The sequence below is a fragment of the Homo sapiens genome, chromosome 15, assembly GCF_000001405.40.
Source record: "Homo sapiens chromosome 15, GRCh38.p14 Primary Assembly".
Classification (NCBI taxonomy): Eukaryota; Metazoa; Chordata; class Mammalia; order Primates; family Hominidae; genus Homo; species Homo sapiens.
This window is the reverse complement of record NC_000015.10, coordinates 72,154,906-72,173,262: the sequence shown is the minus strand read 5'-3', so window position 1 is coordinate 72,173,262 and position 18,357 is coordinate 72,154,906. Positions and strand designations below refer to the sequence as shown.

Below are 18,357 nucleotides of genomic sequence, written 5' to 3'. Positions count from 1 at the left end.
AGATAATCCATGCAAGATTATAATTATACCCAGTTTCTAAGGCTCAGCTTCCTTTTCTCTAGGAACCCCACTGTATTTCAGTTCCCAGGGATCTGTGCATCCTCTGAGCTCCTGCAGTCCTGAGAATTTGACTCACATTCTCAAGCAACAGGCTCCCTGCCTCTGAAAGCACTGTCCAAGCTCCTTCCCATTGTCATCCCGTTCTATCCCTCATCCATCCTTCAGTCTGGGATGCAGGTTCTTCAGAGCTGAGCCCACAGAATTTTTCCCTGGCGGCCCCATGGATTCACTGCCAGGCCCACGCTGTAATGGCTCAGTGGTCTGACTTGCATATCTACTCCCCCCAGGCCTGTCCTGTGAGAGGACTGAGACCAAGCGAGAAACATACATGGAAGAAATAGATGGAATCTCCCATGCAGTAATTACACACAGGCACAGCAGAAATACCACAGACAAAAGAGAAACGACAAACTGGGGAAAACATCACAAAAATGATAAACTAAGGATTAACGTTCTCAATAAAGAATTTACAGGCCAGGTATGGTGGCTCACACCTGTAATCCCAGCACTTTGGAGAGGCCAAGGCAGGTGAATCACCTGAGATCAGGAGTTCAAGACCAGACTGGTCAACATGATGAAACCCCATCTCTGCTAAAAAATTTATATATATATAAATAAATTAGCCAGATGTGATGGCAGGTACCTGTAATCCCAGCTACTCGGGAGGCTGAGGCATGAGAATCACTTGAACCTGGGAGGCGGAGGTTGCAGTGAGCTGAGATCACACCACTGCACTCCAGCTTGGGTGACAGAGCAAGACTCTGTCTCCAAAAAAAAAAAAAAAGGCTAGGCATGGTGGCTCACACCTGTAATCCCAGCACTTTGGGAAGCTGAGGTGGGACGATTGAGCTCAGGAGTTTAGGACCAGCCTGGACAACACAGTGAGACCCCCGCTGTCTACAAAAAAAATGAAAACCTTAGCCCGGCATGGTGGAGCATTCCTGTAGTCCCAGCTACTTGGGAAGCTGAGGTGGGAGGATCACATGAGCTCGGGAGGCTGAGGCTGCAGTGAACCAAGATTGCGCCACTGTACTGTAGCCTGGGCGACAGAGTGAAACCCTGTCTCAAAAAAAAAAAGGCCGGGCGTGGTGGCTCATGCCTGTAATCCCAGCACTCTGGGAGGCCAAGGCAGGGGGATTATAAGGTCAGGAGTTCGAGACTAGCTTGGCCAATATGGTGAAACCCCCGTCTCTACTAAAAAATACAAAAATTAGGCACAGTGACACACGCCTGTAGTCCCAGCTACTTGGGAGGCTGAGGCAGGAGAATTGCTGGAACCCAGGAGGTGGAGGTTTCAGTGAGCCAAGATCACGCCACTGGACTCCAGCCTGGGCGACAGAGAGAGACTCCATCTCAAAAAAAAAAAATAAAAAAGCCAGAAAAAATTTATACAAATGAAGAAAGAACTTCAATACAAATGAAGAAAGAATTTCACCTGTGAATTCTCTATAAGACAATGAACTTCCAGTGGTTAATAATTATTTGGAAAAAACTGTTCAACCTACCAGTAAGCAGAAATACAAATGAAGACAACGTATTTTCACCTATCAGATTTGCAAAGGTGAGCGAGAGACAATATCCAGAGAAGGGCATGAATATGGGGAAACAGGCACCTTCATGTCGTGCTGATGGCTGGGTTAACTGGAACAGCATCTGTTCATTCTCAATCCACTAATTTCACTTCTGAGAATCTATCTTAGGAATGGACAGTGAGTGACATGGGAAATTTCTCATGAAATCAGGTTAAGCCACAGAAGTAGGGTATACAAATTATAGATTATATAACCATTTACATAGGTTATATGTTTATCATACATTTTTTATTTGGGTGATTTTTGGGGAATCTTTAGGTGATTTTGATCTTATATATATTTTTCATATTTTCTATAATCTTTAAAAATCAAGGGAAAAAAAAAAACCTCTGTGAAATGTGACATGATGGAACCAAATAAATCCAGAAATCAACTTTGAGAGTCAAATCTCTAGCAAAATCTGTCACTTCACAAGACTGTTGTAGGTATATGTTGATATGTGTGGCAAAATCCTCTCTAAGGTTGAGGACAGAGGTAACCAGGCCACATGGCCATGGCTGGGCTGATTTTGTGGGTGAGGTCACTGGCTGTTCACTGTAGGACCGGACACAGCCTGTCCCTTGGCAGGTCTCAGTTTCATAATCTGTACAATGGTATGGTGGGAGCGGGTGAGGCTGAATCAATCTCTGAGGGTCCTGGCAGATCTTGGGCTGAGGCGAAAACTCTGTTCTTGAAGAAGAGAACTTTGGCTGGCCTCAGTCACAGAGCGGAGGGTGACTGAGCATTGAGATTTGTAGGTTCCAGGCTCCAGCTCCTAATCTGCAGCAGGACCACTGCACGTGACCTTGTTACCTGTTCCTGACCACCACACTGCCCCAGCACGGCCCTGCTTCTTGGCCACCCTCTCTTTCTTGGTCAGCCCCTGGGCCCACTTGGTTGGGGCTGGCTTGACGGCTCAGGCTTTATTGATGTGTAGCCTGGAGGAGCAGGAACAGGGTAATGATTCTTTGGAGCGATTAGTGGAGGCAGGAACTCAAAGGCCATTGGAGAGCCCGACCTGCCCAGGGAGAGAGGATCTGTTCCCTCCTACGCTCTCCCTCAGGGACATTTTTGAGATGGTTTGGCTCTCATCATCAAGCTGTCCTGACTGTCCAAGGTGGCTGAGGCCACTTCCTGGTATAAGACGGCTCCTCCCCTCCTGGCCACACTCACCTGTAGGCTGATGGGCGTCCACCTCCCACACCTTCAGCGCATCAGCTCCTGAGCTTTGATAAGGCCTCCTGTGCTCAGCCTACTTTCCCGGAACCTGATGGTTTACAGTCATGCTGCGCGGGTACTTTGGACACTTTTGTTCTCGGCATAAGCGAGTCTCAGGGTCCTCCCTCTCAGTGTGCCTCCTCAAGGGTGGGGCTAGAGGCCTCACTCAGCCTGGCCTACGAGCTGCCTGGCACTGGAGATGAGGTAGACAGGTTGATTTTCCTCCCAGCCTAGGCATAAGCAGAACTTCTGGCTTTCGGGAAAGACGCTGTGTGAGACCCGCCTACTCCGTCAGCCATCCCAGAACCTCTGCCTGCGCTGCTGCCTCTGAACTGTGACATTTTCAGTGTCACCCTCAATATCAGGGCCAGTCTTGGGTGGGGGCCAGAGGCAGCGGCCATGGGCATGGTGGGGCTGTTAGGGAAAGGTGTCCTCATGAAGCCCCCTTCCTGATATGGGCCTGTTTTTCCCTAGCAACCAACAAATGCACAGAAAGACAGCTTCTCTGAACAGTCCTGTGTCCTGCAAAGAGAAACCAGACAGAGTTGAGGAGCCCCCGGACTACAGGTGAGGACCCCTTTCCCAGTCATAGATACACACAGACTAGAGGGTGGGAAGCCCTCAGGAAGTGACCTGTTTGTAAGAGGACCTCAAGGCAGAGCCGGGGCCCCTTTGCAGGTCTGTGAGGTCAGGCACAGGCTGCCCCAGGCTTCTTCCTCCCGCCCCTCAAGACTGTCCCAGTGCACTGGGACCTAGCAGAGTCCATGCTTCTCGGGTTTCCAGCCTCCTCCCTGCTCACCTGTGCTCTGGGCCAACCTGGCCAAGGCAAAGGTTTACCTTTTTTTCTCAGTGCCATCCCCCTCTCCCAGTGTGGTAGCCTCAGCCAGGTCAGGTGAGTCTGTGCCAAGCTCCCCGCAGCAGAGCTCAGGCCACAGGAAGGAGGCGGCAGGGAGGGCAGTCCTGCTGGCATCATGGCCTGTGGCCAGGCCCCGGCGCTGTGAGTCTGACACCTTCACCTCACCCACACCCCAAACTGTCCCTATTCCAGCACTGCCTGCTCCCCTGCTTACCCCTTGGCCAGAGAAATGGGACAGGGTCTTTGACACCCAGGTGGGAAGCTCCTCAGCATCTCTGGGAGACCAGGCGCACCTCCAGGAGATGCTGCTCACCCGCACTGGGGAAGGTGGGCCCTTGGCGACCCCTCTCTACCTCCCGCAGTGCCCTCCCCCAGGGATGAGCTGTATAGTTTAGCTGTGTGCTCGCTGTACTTGTCATTTTGCTGTGTCCCCTAGAGAAGGGTCCTAGTCTCTGATCTCTGCCTCAAGCTTCTGGCTCAAGGCCAGGGCAGAATTGGCACTGAGGATGCATGGGCAGGACTGGGGTTCCTTGTTCCCGAAATGGAATGTCTCCTTTGCAGTCTGCACTGGCCAGAAGGCTTGAAGGGTGAAGAGATAAAGAAGTGTGGCCGAGAAGGGGTAAGTCTGGAGGCTGACTTCTCACTATTCACCCAGGAAGGGGTCCTGGGCTGCCAGAATTCAGTGACTTTTGGCTCCTTGGCCACCGGGCCTGTCATCAGGAAATCAGGAGACCTGAGTGTGTATCCCTTCCTGGGTGGGAGTAGTGTGTCCCCCTCTGCTAGTACAAGCTGCCTGTCAGGACCTAGCAGCACCAGGAGACAAGCTGTGCTTGGCACACAGCCCTCCATACTCACTGGCTGCTTACTAGCTGCCTCATGCTAAGTCCCCAGCATGGGCCGGGGGGCTGTGGCATTTCCTGTTGGCTGGAGCAGGGCCCCTTTGGCGGTCTCATCTCCCAGCGCTTCTCAGACGCAGCCTGTGTGTTTGCAGATAACACTGAATAAATACAACCAGCAATACCACAAGCTGTTTAAGGATGTTCCCTTGGAGGAAGTGGTTCTCAAAGGTGAGCTGTCTCCCGGTATAGCTGGTTAGGCACCCAGAGTGCCTGGGGCCAGGGGCCTCTGCTCTGGAGCCTCCAAAGCACGACTTAGAAATGGGAACTGGCTGTCCTTTAGATGTGGACCACTCCCCTAGAATGTGAGAAGACTGGGCTGGTGAGAAGACTGGGCTGGTTTGGACATAGCATTGCATTTTTGAAGGTTTTCTTGGGGAAACGTCAGGGCTTTGGAATCTTGTGTCCTGCTCTTACTGGTGACTTCTTACCTGCTCTGGCCTCTCACTGAGCAGGTGGGGGCATTTGCACAATCAAGGCCCTTGGGGCAGAGCAGAGCAGGGAAAGGTCAGGGATTCTGCCTGAGGTGGTGAGAATGCAGGCTTGGAGATCAGGGCAGGAACTTGCCTGGACCCTCTGGAGCAAGGGTGGAGAAGGAAGAAACATCCAGCAGGCTGGTGGAGTGGAGGAGCAGTCAGGAGAAGGACCCTTCGACGCTGGGGAATGGACTGTTTGGGGTTTGGGGCCTGCGGTGGGGAAGGGGGAGTCTGAGGAAGACAGGTCCTGAGGCTGGACTGTGGACTCCAGAACGTGAGGACCCAGGTCCTGGGGCTTCCTGGGCTGACCTTGCTTATGGCCATTTTCTCTCCTGTGACATCCTAGTGTGTTCCTGTGCCCTCCAGAGGGACTTCCTCCTCCAGGGCCGGCTCTACATCTCCCCCAACTGGCTCTGCTTCCATGCCAGCCTCTTTGGCAAGGATATCAAGGTAGTAATGAGTGGTGAGGGCTGCCATGACCCTGTGAGGGGAGCCAGCCTCCTGCCCCACGGGCATGCCTCAAAGTCATGCCTATCTCTCTGCGTGCTGGGCCCCGGGTGAAGCCCCTTGCTGGTTGGATGCGCAGCTTCGAGGCATCCCATCCAGTGTCCAGGAAAGTAGTCCTGCCCCTTCAAAAACAGGGGCCCAATCTGGACCCCACATCTGGCCTGAGCTGGCCTGAACAGTTCACAGCCAAATCATTCTGCCTCTGGGTATTTCAGAAATGCTTTGAGAATCAGAGTGGGATATCACATTTAGGCGGAGCCCTAGCTGTGGCCAAGAAGTAGCCTGGGGAGCTCCATTACTAGAGTATGAGATTTACCAGAGCCACCATCCTTGGCCTCCTGGATAACAGGGATCATACCTATGTGACAGCCAAGAGTGACACATCCTGCCAAGGCTGGGGCAGGGTGGCAGGGACAACTGGAAGGGGAGCCTGGATGAAAAGGTAGAAGGTTCAGAGACTTCCCCACATGGGGCCAGGCTTCCCCATGGTGGCCATGCTGGGCTCACAGCTGGGTCCCTAGGCAGGGAGCAAAGGGACCACGTCCTTGGGGGTTAGTCCTGAGAGAAGCATCCCTCTCCCTCTCAGGTGGTCATTCCTGTGGTGTCTGTGCAAATGATCAAAAAACACAAGATGGCACGGCTCCTTCCCAATGGACTGGCCATCACCACCAACACCAGCCAGAAGGTCAGTGCACTGGGCCCATGCTCCCTTGTCAGTCTCCCGCTCCCAGCCCTGACAGCCCACAGTCTGACTCGGGCACATTCCCAGGTCTTTATTTCACCCCACCCTGCAGCTCTCCAGTAGGTATTTCAGGCCGTACAACAAGCTGGAAGAGAAGTTCCTAGGCAGAGCTTCTGTTGGCTCTCATGGCCTGATACCCCTGTGGGCCTGTGCCCAATCCACAAGGGGGCTGGCTGGCACAGCAAGGAGTCTCATCTCACCCTACCCCTGTCTGTTTTCTTTCCATGTCCCAGTATATCTTTGTGTCACTGCTCTCCCGGGACAGTGTATATGACCTGCTGAGGAGAGTCTGCACCCACCTACAGGTATGGAGCTTGGGAGCAGGAAGGCCAGGGAAGTCGCTCAGGCCTGGATGCAGGTCTTGCACAAGGGTGTTGGGGGAGGTCGCCCATCTCTCCAGCACAGGGAATGGGGCAGGGAGAGGGGAGTTAAAGGCTCAGGCTCAATGTACAAGAGACAGTACTTGGATTGTGTGTCTATGCTTGCAAGCATGTCTTTGAGGCCAGTGAGCCCCTGTGTGTCCCCATATACAGATGCTCCTTGTTCATGGGCTTATGTCCCATGAACCCATCAAAAGTTGAAAATATCGTAAGTCAAAAATGTGTTTAATAGAGGTACACATCACCTACAGAACATCGTAGCTTAGCCTCACCTCCCTTAAACATCTCAGAATGCTTTCATTAGCCTAGAGCTGGGCAAAAGCATCTCAGGCAAAGCCTGTTTTATAATAAAGTGTGGAACATCTTATATAACTTATTGAATCCTGTACTGAATGTGAAAAACAATGGCTGTATGGTCCCAGCACTTTGGGAGGCCGAGGCAGGTGGATCACCTGAGGTCAAGAGTTCGAGACCAGCCTGGCCAACGTAGTGAAACCCTGTCTTTACTAAAAATACAAAAATTAGCCGGGTGTGGTGGCAGGCACCTGTAATCCCAGCTACTTGGGAGGATGAGGCAGGAGAATCACTTGAACCCGGGAGGAGGAGGTTGTAGTGAGCCGAGATTGCACCATTGCCCTCCAGCCTGGGTGACAAGAGCAAGACTCCATCTCAAAAAAACAAAAAAAAACAAAAAACAAAAAACGAAAACCGGAATGGCTGTATAGGTACTTGAAGTACAGTTTCTACAGGAAGCCTATCACTTTTGCACCATCATAAAGTTGAAAAATCTTAAGTGGAACCATCGTAGGTCAGGGACCGTCTCTATGTCCAGGCCCTCACTTGTGCTTCCTTAATGCACAGATAGGAGCGCGTAGCTGCTTCCCAACATGCCCTATGACTCTCTCTGCCTATGGTGAGGAAGAGGGGAGGGATGGGGCAGCAGGTGGGAGAGTAAGTTTCCTGGGGTTTGCCTCTCTGCTCCAGCATTAAATAGGGGGCCCCCTATAGACCCTGGGAGCTGGGCTTCACCTGACACAAAGTGGCTTATTTGGAGGTAAAGCTCTCTTGGAGAGGGCTGATGCTTCCCCCTGCCTGACCTTGCCTGTTCCAGATGGACAAGTGACTGCTGTTCCCTTTCCTCCTCAGCCTTCCAGCAAGAAGAGTCTGAGTGTAAGAGAATTTTCAGGGGAACCTGAGTCTCTGGTGAGAGCTGAAGCTGGGAGCAAAGACTGCTGGACTGACAGTGCCTGGAGCTCTGAGGCTTCTGGGCCTCCTAGGGGGGCCCACAATGCAGAACTGGGGCACCAGGCTCAAGAGTCAGTGGCCATGCTATGCCAGGGCATCTCTTAAACCTGCCACACCATAATGCAGAGCCACCAGGGCCTCAGCAGATAGGCTTTCTTTTCTTTCTTTTTTGGACGACAGAGTCTTGCTATGTTGCCCATGCTGCAGTGCAGTGGCACCATCTCATCTCACTGCAACTTCCACCTGCTGGGTTCAAGTGATTCTCCTGCCTCACCCTCCCAAGTAGCTGGGATTACAGGCACTTGCCATCACACTCAGCTAATTTTTGTATTTTTAGTAGAGATGGGGTTTCACCACGTTGGCCAAGCTGATCTCGAATTCATGGCCTCAAGTGATCCACTGGCCTCCGCCTCCCAAAGTGCTGGGATTATAGGCGTGAGCCACCGTGCCCAGCCGATAGGCTGACTTTCTGAGTAGAACAGAAGTCCAAGCACCAAAACACTGGCCAGGTTGGGCTGCACACCTGTACAGATGCAGGACCAGTGGCCCATCCTCTTTTCTTCAGCTGAGTCAAGAGGGCCTTCAAGGGGATAAAGATGACCCTGGGAGCCGAGTGTGGTGGCTCACGCCTGTAATCCCAGCACTTTGGGAGGCCAAAGCAGGAGGATGGCTTGAGCCCGGGAGTTCGAGATTGGCCTGGGCAACATAGTGAGACCCTGTCTCAATAAAAATACAAAAATTAGCAGGGCATGTTGGCACGTACCTGTAGTCCCAGCTACGCAGGAGGCTGAGATGGGAGGATCACTTGAGCCTGGGAGGTTAAGGCTGCAGTGAGCCAAGATCACAACACTGTATTCCAGCCTGGGCAACAGAGGGAGACCCTGTCAAAAAAAAAAAAAATAAAAGATGTCCCTAGGGAAGAACTCCAAAGACTATCCCTGAAGAACCCAGACAGACTTATTTTAGATTTGCCAAAGTTCCAGAAGTTTCCTTTGGCAGCTGGGGCCCTGGGTAGGCAGAACTGAGTTTCTAGGGCAGGGATGGCGTAGAAATGACCCTGGGGTGTTTGAAGGCTCCTTTAGTAACTATTAGTGTTTAGCCAAGCATGTGATATGCATAATACCATGTGCCGGATAGAAGGTGAAGTTCCCATTTTTGTAGATGGGGACGCTAAGTCCTCCCTGCCAAGGTTAGGGCTTGGGATAGGAGCAGGAACTTATCCTACCTAAGACATGTTGTGCCGAGCTTTCTTGGCCTCAGATCTGAGCATGTATCTGGGTTGGCTCACATCTAAGATCCCACTGTGGTTCTACACTAGCAGTGTTCAAAGACATCGTTTGCTGGCAGAATAGCTAGTCACAGCAAGGGAGCAGAGAGGAGAGGCATATGGTTGCTATAGCAACTGCCCTCCTCGCTTGTACCTGCTTCCATCCCTGGCTAGGCATCTATATTTGGTAATATCTGGAGAAAACTCTGATAAACCTGGTGTGGGCTCCTTAGGGCAAGTGAGATCGCAAGGGCCATGGTAAGATAGCTTCTCCTGTCTTACTGCAGGAAGTCCTCATCCCTGAGATGAAGTGGAGAAAGGTATGCCCTTCCTCCAGGTCCCTGTCTCTCCCAGACAACATCCCTTGTATCCCTCCATCATCCGTGGACTCCACAGACAGTTTCTTCCCCTCCAGGAAGCCTCCAATGTCTGGTAAGTTCGGGAGGGCTTGTCCATGGCAACTACTTGCAAAGGCCAGACTTTCTGTCTTCCCAGTTCCATAAAAAGGGCTCACCACAGCCAGCAGGGCTTCTGAGAGCTGATTTTTTTTTTCTCCCAATCCATAAAGAAAAGTCAAGAGCCCAAGTAGCTTCAGAAAATGGTGGGAGGTGGGCATGGCCCATGCCAGGCTGGGGTCCTGCCTGCCCTAAGAAGATGCCGAACTGCTCTCCCACTGCAAAGAATGCTGTCTATGAGGAGGATGAGCTGGAGGAGGAGCCCAGGAGCACTGGGGAGCTGAGGCTCTGGGATTACCGGCTCCTCAAGGTCTTCTTTGTGCTGTAAGTGACTATACTGGGGAGGGGGACAGACCCACCTGCATGTCTAGGTGCTTGGAACAAGGGCCTTGGAGTGTGGGGAATTCACTATTCAGAACCAGGGGGAAGTTTCTGAGTCAAATTCAAGCTCTTGGGTGGTATCTGAAGGCCATGTGGCACGCCCTTCTGTAGCAAGAGAAAGGATCTCCAGTTTTTATTCTTGAAACCCTGTAATTTAGGGTTAAGACTATTTGGTGGAGAGGGGCAGGATATGGAGATGTTGAGAAGAGGAAAAGGATTTGGGAGAAGGAGGGCCAGGAAAATTGGAGAGAGAGAGGAAAAGCTTGGCCTCGCCACTGCCCACCACTAGGGCAGCTTCTGGAACCCCTGACTTGTCTCTACCTCTGTCTAAGGACCAGTAGAGCAGGGAGCATCGTGGGAAGTGACATGAACAGCCAGCCCCTGCTTTCCCTCACCTTAGCTCATCAGCCTCCTCTGGCTCGGCTGGCCGGGTTTTGACCATCAACATCAGCACCTGCTGGGGGAATGGGCCCACCGCCTAGGGGGTCATCATCATGACCTCCCAGAGGAGGCACAGGAAGGACCACCATGGCTGGTGAGAGAGAGGGTAGGATGACTGATCTGGCTGTCTGGCCAGAGCTCCCCCCAGAGCTCAGCTGAAGGGCCCAGAGCTCTAGCTGGGCTGTAAGGACACTTCCATGGGGACAAGTCTGAAGACCCCTACATGGTGTCTGGGAAGAAAGATGCTGAGGCCTGAACTGGCTGCAGGACAAAGGGCTCTTTAATTCTTCCAACTGCAGGGGTAGCTTGGTCCCCACTATTTCCGGTGAACTTCCAGAAATGCTCTTTCTGTGGAAGAAATATTTAACTCCGTATTGCCGCTTTCTTCAGGATCTGCTTCCTGGTCATGTCCTCATCCTACCTGGCGTTCCGTATTTCTCGGCTAGAGCAGCAGTTATGCTCCTTGAGTTGGGATGACCCAGTCCCTGGGCACAGGTGAGGCCTTTTCTCTTTCTAATGCCTTTGATATTGAGGGTTGAGGACAGGAGCCAAGAACCTCAGGCCAGGCTGCCTGGCTGGACTTGGTCCTGTTTTGAGCTGGCTTCTGACCCTAAGCAAGGTTGGGCAGCGTGCAGGGTACACCAGTCCCACCCTGGCCCACTCTTGGGGGAAGTAAAGTTATCACTGGCCCTTCTGCCCACGTCCGTCTGCATTCTGGGCCCTTTCCCTGATGTGGACATCTTTCCTGTGTGCAGGTAACAGCCACTTGGCCTTTGTCCCCATTCCTTCTCCAAGAAGAATGTTCTGGGTGCTAAGTCTCCACCAATGATCCCTGTGGTTTATGCTGCTGCTGTGCTAAGACTGCCTATGAAGGAAAATATTCCAGATCCCTCCTCCTCCCCGCAGCTCTTCTCTTCCCTCTATGAGAGATCTGAAGTACGTGTTTACAAAGTAACTGGCTTCTACAATTTTTGGACTCAAGCAAAAAGCCAGATTTTTTGGAACCAACTGAGGAATTCTGTACACAAAGCTTCAGCAAACACTTAGAGAAAACAAACAAACAAACAAACTGGGTCCTTGGAAACAGTTCTGGCACACAGGCAGAACACTGGAGGCCACCTCAAAGGACAGAGGCCATGCTTTCGCATTTGGAATGTGGCTCTGCCACACAGCTCACTCCTATGGTGGGGTCAGAGGTCAGAACACAAACCACCCATGTGGGCTCTGCTCCCTCCCAACACTCTGTGTTCCCACAGGGCTTCTCTGCGGGCAGCCAGGCACCTGTCAGGCTTGGGCAGGGGCCTGCTGAGAATCTGTGAATGCAGAGGGGAGGGCTCATGGCCAGGATTCCAGCCAGAGATGAATTTCCATGCTCTGGGCCAGGGCTCTGTGCCGGCCCCTCATGAGGTGGCTGGCTGCATTATGGGGAGATGCTGCCCACGGCGGAGATGGTGGCAGTGGCTGTGAAGAACAGAGGTACCTGAATTCTGTGTCCTCAGCTGTCACTTTCCGGTGAGACAAGTGGAGCAGGGCCTTTGATCACTGTGGTCACAGACCTGGTACTGGGTTTTGCCCTTGTGTGCTCAAACATTTCTAAGGTGTCCCAAGCCCTGGAAATAGGGAAGGGAAGGGTGGAGGCTTGGATCTGAGGTCTTGCTGTCCACTCCCTGCCTGCCTGCCCGCATCTCAGGCATGGCCAACAGCAGCCCGTTGAGGGGGGCTTGTCTGGACAGTTGCGTGTGATGGTGTTGAGCCATCACAGGGCAGAGGTCACTTGTGTCACCCCCATAGTCATTGGGTTGCAGGCCATGGAGGAGGGACCTCCACTCCATGGGGCCTATTCTCCATTAAGGTGGAAGTGTCCACTGTGGGCCTAGCACAGTGCAGGAACCAGGCCAGGGGGTCTATCTCATACCTCTGGGGACAGGAAAGGTAGAGGATGAGGAGGTTGGACGTGGTGGTGGCTTTGCCTTGGATATTCCTCTTCCTCTATCAAGGCCTTCTCTTCTTCTCTGTGTCCCACAACTCTGGCCTCATCGCCCTGGGACTCCCATCTGCTAAGATAGTGGCTTTGGAGGTTCTGGAAGGGCTTAGTGAGGAGGCCAGAAGTATCAGGGAAAGTTGCTGGTGATGGGGTGGGCGGTGTCAGAAGCAGCCACTGTTTTCCCCTCTTCAGACACTGAGAGATTAATCAGGGAATGAAATCCAGGTGGAAATTATTTATTGTGAAGCAGACGACTGTCTGTCCTGTTTATGACAAACCCAAATGAGAATTGGAGGGACTACCAGTAAGTGGTCTCTTCATGCTCTCCCCATCCCAGTTTTTAGGATGAAATTTAGAGCCTGGCCTTTTGTGTTGCTTGCACCAAATCTGTATGTCTCAGGTGAAACTCACTGTTCCATGAATGGTCATCCTTTTTTTTTTTTTTTTTTTGGAACCAGCCCCTTTCACCCTTTCATCCGTCTTTTTTTTTTAGGAAAATAACCCTTCTTGCTTCAGCACTTCTCCCTGGTCCTTGCTGAAAGACAGAGATAAAAATCCATTCTCTGAGCCTTGCTTGGTTGTCAGAGGCCATGAGAGGTGCCAGTTATAGGTGGATGTGCCAAGATGCTGGTGAACTTGGTCTTCAGCTATACCCAGGCTCAGAAAGGGCAAGAGCCATGCTGCAGCGTAGGTGACTTTGGAGGTGCACTTGGGGCCCAGGGCTTTGAGTGTTGCGGGTGTGCCTGTCCCTCCAGATAGTGCTCTGTTTCTCTCTGTTGTCCCCCTGCCTGGTCCTCTGGGGCCACTGTGCTTTCTGCTGTGTGCATTTATAAATGATGTGTATTTTATATAGACCTGCTTGCATTGGCTGATGCTCCTCTAATTCCCTGAGTTTGATTCAACCACCCTTGGGTTGTTTTGCTATGGCCTTAGCCTTTGAAAATATTTTAAAATAAAAAACTTGATTTTTCTAGTGTATTATGGTATAGAAAGTTCATTTTTATCCTCTGACTACTCACTACAGGTACTCTTACTGACATACTCAGCCCCCAGGAGACTGATGGAGCCCAAGTCATTCCTATAATCCCAAGTACTCTGCAAATCTCAAAGGACTTGGCATATGGGGAAGAGTGAGGGTGGCCACAGCAAACCCCCACAGCCCTCTGCCTCTGTTGGGTGGACACCGGGAATACTTACCCATTTTCTCTGAGCAACTCCAAAGCAATGTCCCTGGCTCAAACAGGATTATGCCTCTGATCCAGGAATTAACATACGGAGTTCAGAGCCAGAAAGCTCGTGTGGCCTTTTCTATGACCCAGAGCCTATGTAAGGAGGTAAAATTCCAATTTGGGCCATATCACCTTCCTTCTTTTTCCCTGTGATGCCCCCTCTAGTAGTGATTCATTCATTCAATAAATATTATTGAGCCAAGACTACATGCCAGGTACTAAGCTGGGCACTGGAGCCATGAACATGGCAAACATATCTGTGTCCATGGAACTTAACTTACATTCCATGTACAGGTAGATTCCAAGTAAATATGTAAACAAACAAGATAATTGCAGATAGTGATTTTCAAGAAGAAACAGTGACATGATGAAGTGTGATAAACAGTGGTAAAGAGGGAGGTGGCTTTAGATGACATGGTTAAGAAAGTTCTCCAAAGTGACAAGCTGGTGCTTAAAGGATGAGAAGTCAGTCATGAGAGGAGCTGGGAACAACACATTCCTGGAAGAGGGATCAGCAACTGCAAAAGGTAGGAAAGGACATGTTTGTCTCTGAGGAGCAGAGAGACTAGCTGCATGTTAGTATCCTAGGATGCTAAGTGGGAGAGTGACATGAAAAGAGGTTATAGAGGTCAACACAACAAAAAAACCCGATTGAAAAATGGGCAAAAGGCTGGGCCCAGTGGCTCATGCCTATAATCCCAACACTTTGGGAGGCTGAGGCAGGTGGATCGCTTTGAGCCCAGAAGTTCGAGACCAGCCTGGCCAACATGGGGAAACCCTGTCTCCACTAAAAATACAAAAATTAGGCCAGGTGTTGTGGCTCACTCCTGTAATCCCAGCACTTTGGGAGGCCGAGGTGGGTGGATCACGAGGTCAGGAGTTCAAGACCAGCCTGACCAACATGGTGAAACCCCGTCTCTACTAAAAATACAAAAATTAGCCGGGTGTGGTGGTGGGTGCCTGTAATCCTAGCTACTCAGGAGGCTGAGGCAGGAGAATCGCTTGAACCCGGGAGGCGGAGGTTGCAGTGAGCCGAGATCGCGCCACTGCACTCCAGCCTGGGCGACAGAGCAAGATTCCGTCTCAAAAAAAAAAAAAAAAGCCAGGCATGGTGGTATGCACCTATAGTTCCAGCTACTCAGGAGGTTGAGGTGGGAGAATTGCTTGAACCCAGGAGGCGGAGGTTGCAGTGAGCCGAGATCATGCCACTGCACTCCAGCCTGGGTAACAGAGCAAGACTGTCTTAAAAAAAAAAAGGCAAAGGATTTGAATAGACATTTCTCTAAAGAAGATACACAGATGGCCAATAACCAATGAAAAGATCTTCAACATCACTAATCATTAGGGAAATGCCAGTCAAAACCACAATGAAGTACCACTTCACACTCATTAGAATGGCTACTCTCAAAGAACAGAAAAGAAACAGAATATAACAAGTGTTGGTGAAGATGTGGAGAATTAGTAACTCTGGGAATGACTTGGGCTGGGTTGGTGAAGATATGGAGAACTGTACTGTTGGTGGGAATGTAAAGTGGTTTAACTACTGTGTAAAACAGGACAGCAGCTACTCAAAAAATTAAAAACAGAATTACCATATGATCCAGCAATTCTAAGTATATAGCCAAAAGAACTGAGAGAATAATCTTGAAGAAATTTTTCTTTTTTTTTCTTTAAAGACAGGGTCTCACTCTGTCACTCAGTCACCCAGACTGAAGTACAGTGGTGTGATCACAGCTTACTGCAGCCTCGACCTCCAGGGCCCAAACTGAAGAAATATTTGAACACACATGTTCATAGCAGCATTATGTACAATAACCGAAAAGTAGAAGCAACTCAAGTGTCCACCCATGGATGAATAAACATATATATATATATGTGTATATATTCTATATATATATGTTTATATATTCTATATATATATACACACACAATGAAATATGTATATTCATCTACTCATGGATATGTAAATATATATATATATATATATATATGAAAAAATATTCAGCCTTGAGAAGGAAAAAAAGTCTGACACATGCTATAACATTGATGAACCTTGTGGACATTAAGCTAAGTGAAATAATCCAGTCCAAAAAAAAAAAATTTCTGGAATCCAGGCTTGTAGAAAGAAAAAAAAATAAAAACAAAACCCCGCACAAATACTGGGCAGGGTGCAGTGGCTGGCTTATGCCTGTAATTCCAGCTACATAGGAGGGAGGATCACTTGAGGCCAGGAGTTTGAGACCAGCCTGGGCAACACAGCGAGACCCCATCTCTTAAAAAAAAGACAAATACTGTATGATTTGGCTTATAGGTGGTATGTGGAGTAGTCAAATTCATAGAGACAGAAAGTAGAATGGTGGCTGCCAGGGGCTGAGGGAAGGGGGAAGTGGAGAACTATTGTTTAATGGGTATAGAGTTGCAGTTTTGCAAGATGAAGAATTCTGGAGATTGGTTGCACAATAGTGTAATGTACTTAACACTACTGAACTATATGCTAAATATGGTTAAGATGGTAAATTTTATGTCATTTTACCACAATTTTTTAAAAGTTAAAAGAAAAGAGTTTGGTGGGGTAAGCAGAAGAGTTTGGATTTTATATAGTCCCTGGGTATTACAGCTCAGATCGGAAAGTTTGGTAGGGCAGATCAGTGGTTGTTGAAACCAAGTGCTTTCCTTTGCTAGAGGAAATAAACACCTGGATATAATACACAGAAAAATATAGCTTATAATCTATAGGCTTTTCAGGGACTTAGAGAAACCAATCCAATAAAATTCTTTAAAGTATGCCCACTCCTCACTATTCCCAGGGACTGATTCATAGCAGCAGCATCACAGAGAAGGCATATAATCATATATTTATCATGGCAATGAGCTAACTTTATCAGGGAGAAATAGCTGCCTTAAATTTGGGGAAACAGAAAGGAAATATACATTATGCCAGAGCCTCAGTTTTGCAACATGGGCCTTAGCAGAAAGGAAGGGTCATGGGAGGGGCAGTATTATTAGCGAAAAAGGCATTCAGGAATGAGGGGGACTCAAGGACAACTTCATCCCACTGAGATGTCCTGGGAATAAGAAACTACCCCCACCCCCTCTCCCAGGTGCCCAGCCAGCCAGCCATGGCCCCTCTACCTGACTGCCAGACTGAGTGAGGCCTAGAAGCCCATGGTGCTCCTCTCTCCTAGCTGCTGGGCCACAGAACCAGGGAGTCCTAGAGCAGAGAAACTTCTCAGAGAAGGATCTCCAGGTTGCCTCAGGACTAGACTGAGAGGCTAGATCCTCAAACTCAATCCAAGGCTGGCTGTCTCTCTCTCAGAGAAGGAAGTGATGACAACTGAGCCACTAGGCGGCAGCAAAGTCCAGCAAAAAGACGCAGAGGCAGAGGGGTGAGTAAAGACTTCGTTGTCCTCCCTCAGAAAAAGCTACTCCTGTCCCCTTGCTGGGGAAAACGGGCCCAGGGCCCCTCCAGTCCAGGTCACCTACCTATCCAAAGTAAGAAGGGAATCTTCAGGAAGGCTTGTGTGGCCATTTGCCCCGAAAAGAATGGCTCTATCCGCTTCCGCTTTGGTCCTCCTCGCTCTCTTCTCTCATCACCTGGGGAAGGGCCAGCGCTGATTCTGAAAGGACGGCGTTTCCGAGGGCTCTCCAGACTTCCCCCAGCTCTGGCCACTCGGAAGGCAGGCGTGGAGAACAAGTGTGTGTGTGTTTGTGTTTCTGGGCTGCAAGGGTGGAGAGTGCAGTTTCTAGGGCATAGAAATCCCAGGCTCTTCTCCAACCTGCCCTTGTTTGGATTAGCATTTTCTCTTAGACACAGAATCGCCGAAATCTGGCTCCTGTGAAGTGTGATTTCATGATGGCAACAACACTCTTTCCGCTCCTACCTTTATTTAGAGAGCACGGGCTGGGCCCCAGAGCAGAGAGTTTTAACGTTTAACAGTTCCACATGCCCTGTCCGCTGACAGCGAGAGGGTGGGAGGCATTTAAGCCTCTGAAATGATATTCTAGAGAAACCTGAGTTCATCCGCCTGCGTGCCTGACCTCCACAGAGCCAAGGAACACCTGGTACCCAGCAGAGCCCTGCTTTCGCTGCTGCCTTCGTGCTGGCAGGGCTCCTTGCCTTCCCGGAATGTGTTCCTTCTTGTTTGCCACTCAGTGCCTGGCCCAAAGCCAAACCTGGGCTGCTCGGAATGCCATGCCCCCACTCACTTCTCTCTCAGGATCTGAGACAAGGCTCTCTTCCGCCTGGGGAAAGGCCAGGCTCTCGCTGCAGCCTCGTCCCACTGCGCAACTTCTCTAGGCACATCAGACTCTCCACCGGCTGAAAGCAGAAGCACTTAGGGAGAGGACAGCAGGGTCCCCAGGAAAGCAGACGGTGTGGCATACTGATATCCTATTGGCAGCCTTCTAAACTGGGCCAGAGTTGGCAAAGTGTTATTCACAAGGTGTTCATTAACTTGCTAAATGCAAAAAGGTTGGGTTGGGCACCACTCTGGGAAAACATGACACCCCTGCTCCTGGATTCAGTCTAGCATGAAGGTGTGTTAATTGGTGTAGGATTTCTATGCAAGTTTTTCTTTGCTGTTAGTTCCAAATACCAGACTAGTCTGTGTGGCATGCTCTCCCCAATATATAACCACATTTAAACAATT

At 50.3% G+C, this 18,357-nt stretch overlaps 1 protein-coding gene and 1 long non-coding RNA gene across 2 annotated transcripts in view, besides 2 other annotated features; one reads left to right on the top strand and one right to left on the bottom strand.

Annotated features, from left to right (window-relative positions):
* The window catches only part of GRAMD2A (GRAM domain containing 2A), a 37,982-nt gene extending 24,525 nt beyond the window's left edge, over positions 1-13,457 (top strand). The window contains exons 2-12 of the mRNA NM_001012642.3: positions 3,324-3,416; positions 4,267-4,324; positions 4,697-4,772; positions 5,424-5,527; positions 6,171-6,269; positions 6,560-6,631; positions 7,853-7,909; positions 9,506-9,650; positions 9,787-9,997; positions 10,886-10,990; positions 11,251-13,457. Coding sequence (NP_001012660.1) covers positions 3,324-3,416; positions 4,267-4,324; positions 4,697-4,772; positions 5,424-5,527; positions 6,171-6,269; positions 6,560-6,631; positions 7,853-7,909; positions 9,506-9,650; positions 9,787-9,997; positions 10,886-10,990; positions 11,251-11,254 — 1,024 coding nt within the window. The 3' untranslated portion in view covers positions 11,255-13,457. The remainder of the gene's footprint in view (positions 1-3,323; positions 3,417-4,266; positions 4,325-4,696; positions 4,773-5,423; positions 5,528-6,170; positions 6,270-6,559; positions 6,632-7,852; positions 7,910-9,505; positions 9,651-9,786; positions 9,998-10,885; positions 10,991-11,250) is intronic.
* Positions 1,862-18,114, bottom strand: LOC124903522 (uncharacterized). Its single transcript, XR_007064706.1, has 3 exons — positions 17,192-18,114; positions 8,715-8,832; positions 1,862-3,371 (listed from the first exon to the last, which is right to left on the bottom strand). It is a non-coding gene; the product is annotated as an uncharacterized LOC124903522 (long non-coding RNA).
* Positions 4,561-4,855: an enhancer, noted in NCBI's record as "tiled region #4122; K562 Activating DNase matched - State 4:PromP". NCBI's record gives its function as "activates a minimal TATA promoter and a strong SV40 promoter by Sharpr-MPRA in K562 cells {active_cell/tissue: K562}" and the evidence as "EXISTENCE:reporter gene assay evidence [ECO:0000049][PMID:27701403]".
* Positions 17,308-17,397: an enhancer, noted in NCBI's record as "active region_9713". NCBI's record gives its function as "activates an Ori minimal core promoter by ATAC-STARR-seq in GM12878 lymphoblastoid cells {active_cell/tissue: GM12878}" and the evidence as "EXISTENCE:reporter gene assay evidence [ECO:0000049][PMID:35858748]".
* Positions 18,115-18,357: the final 243 nt, after the last annotated feature.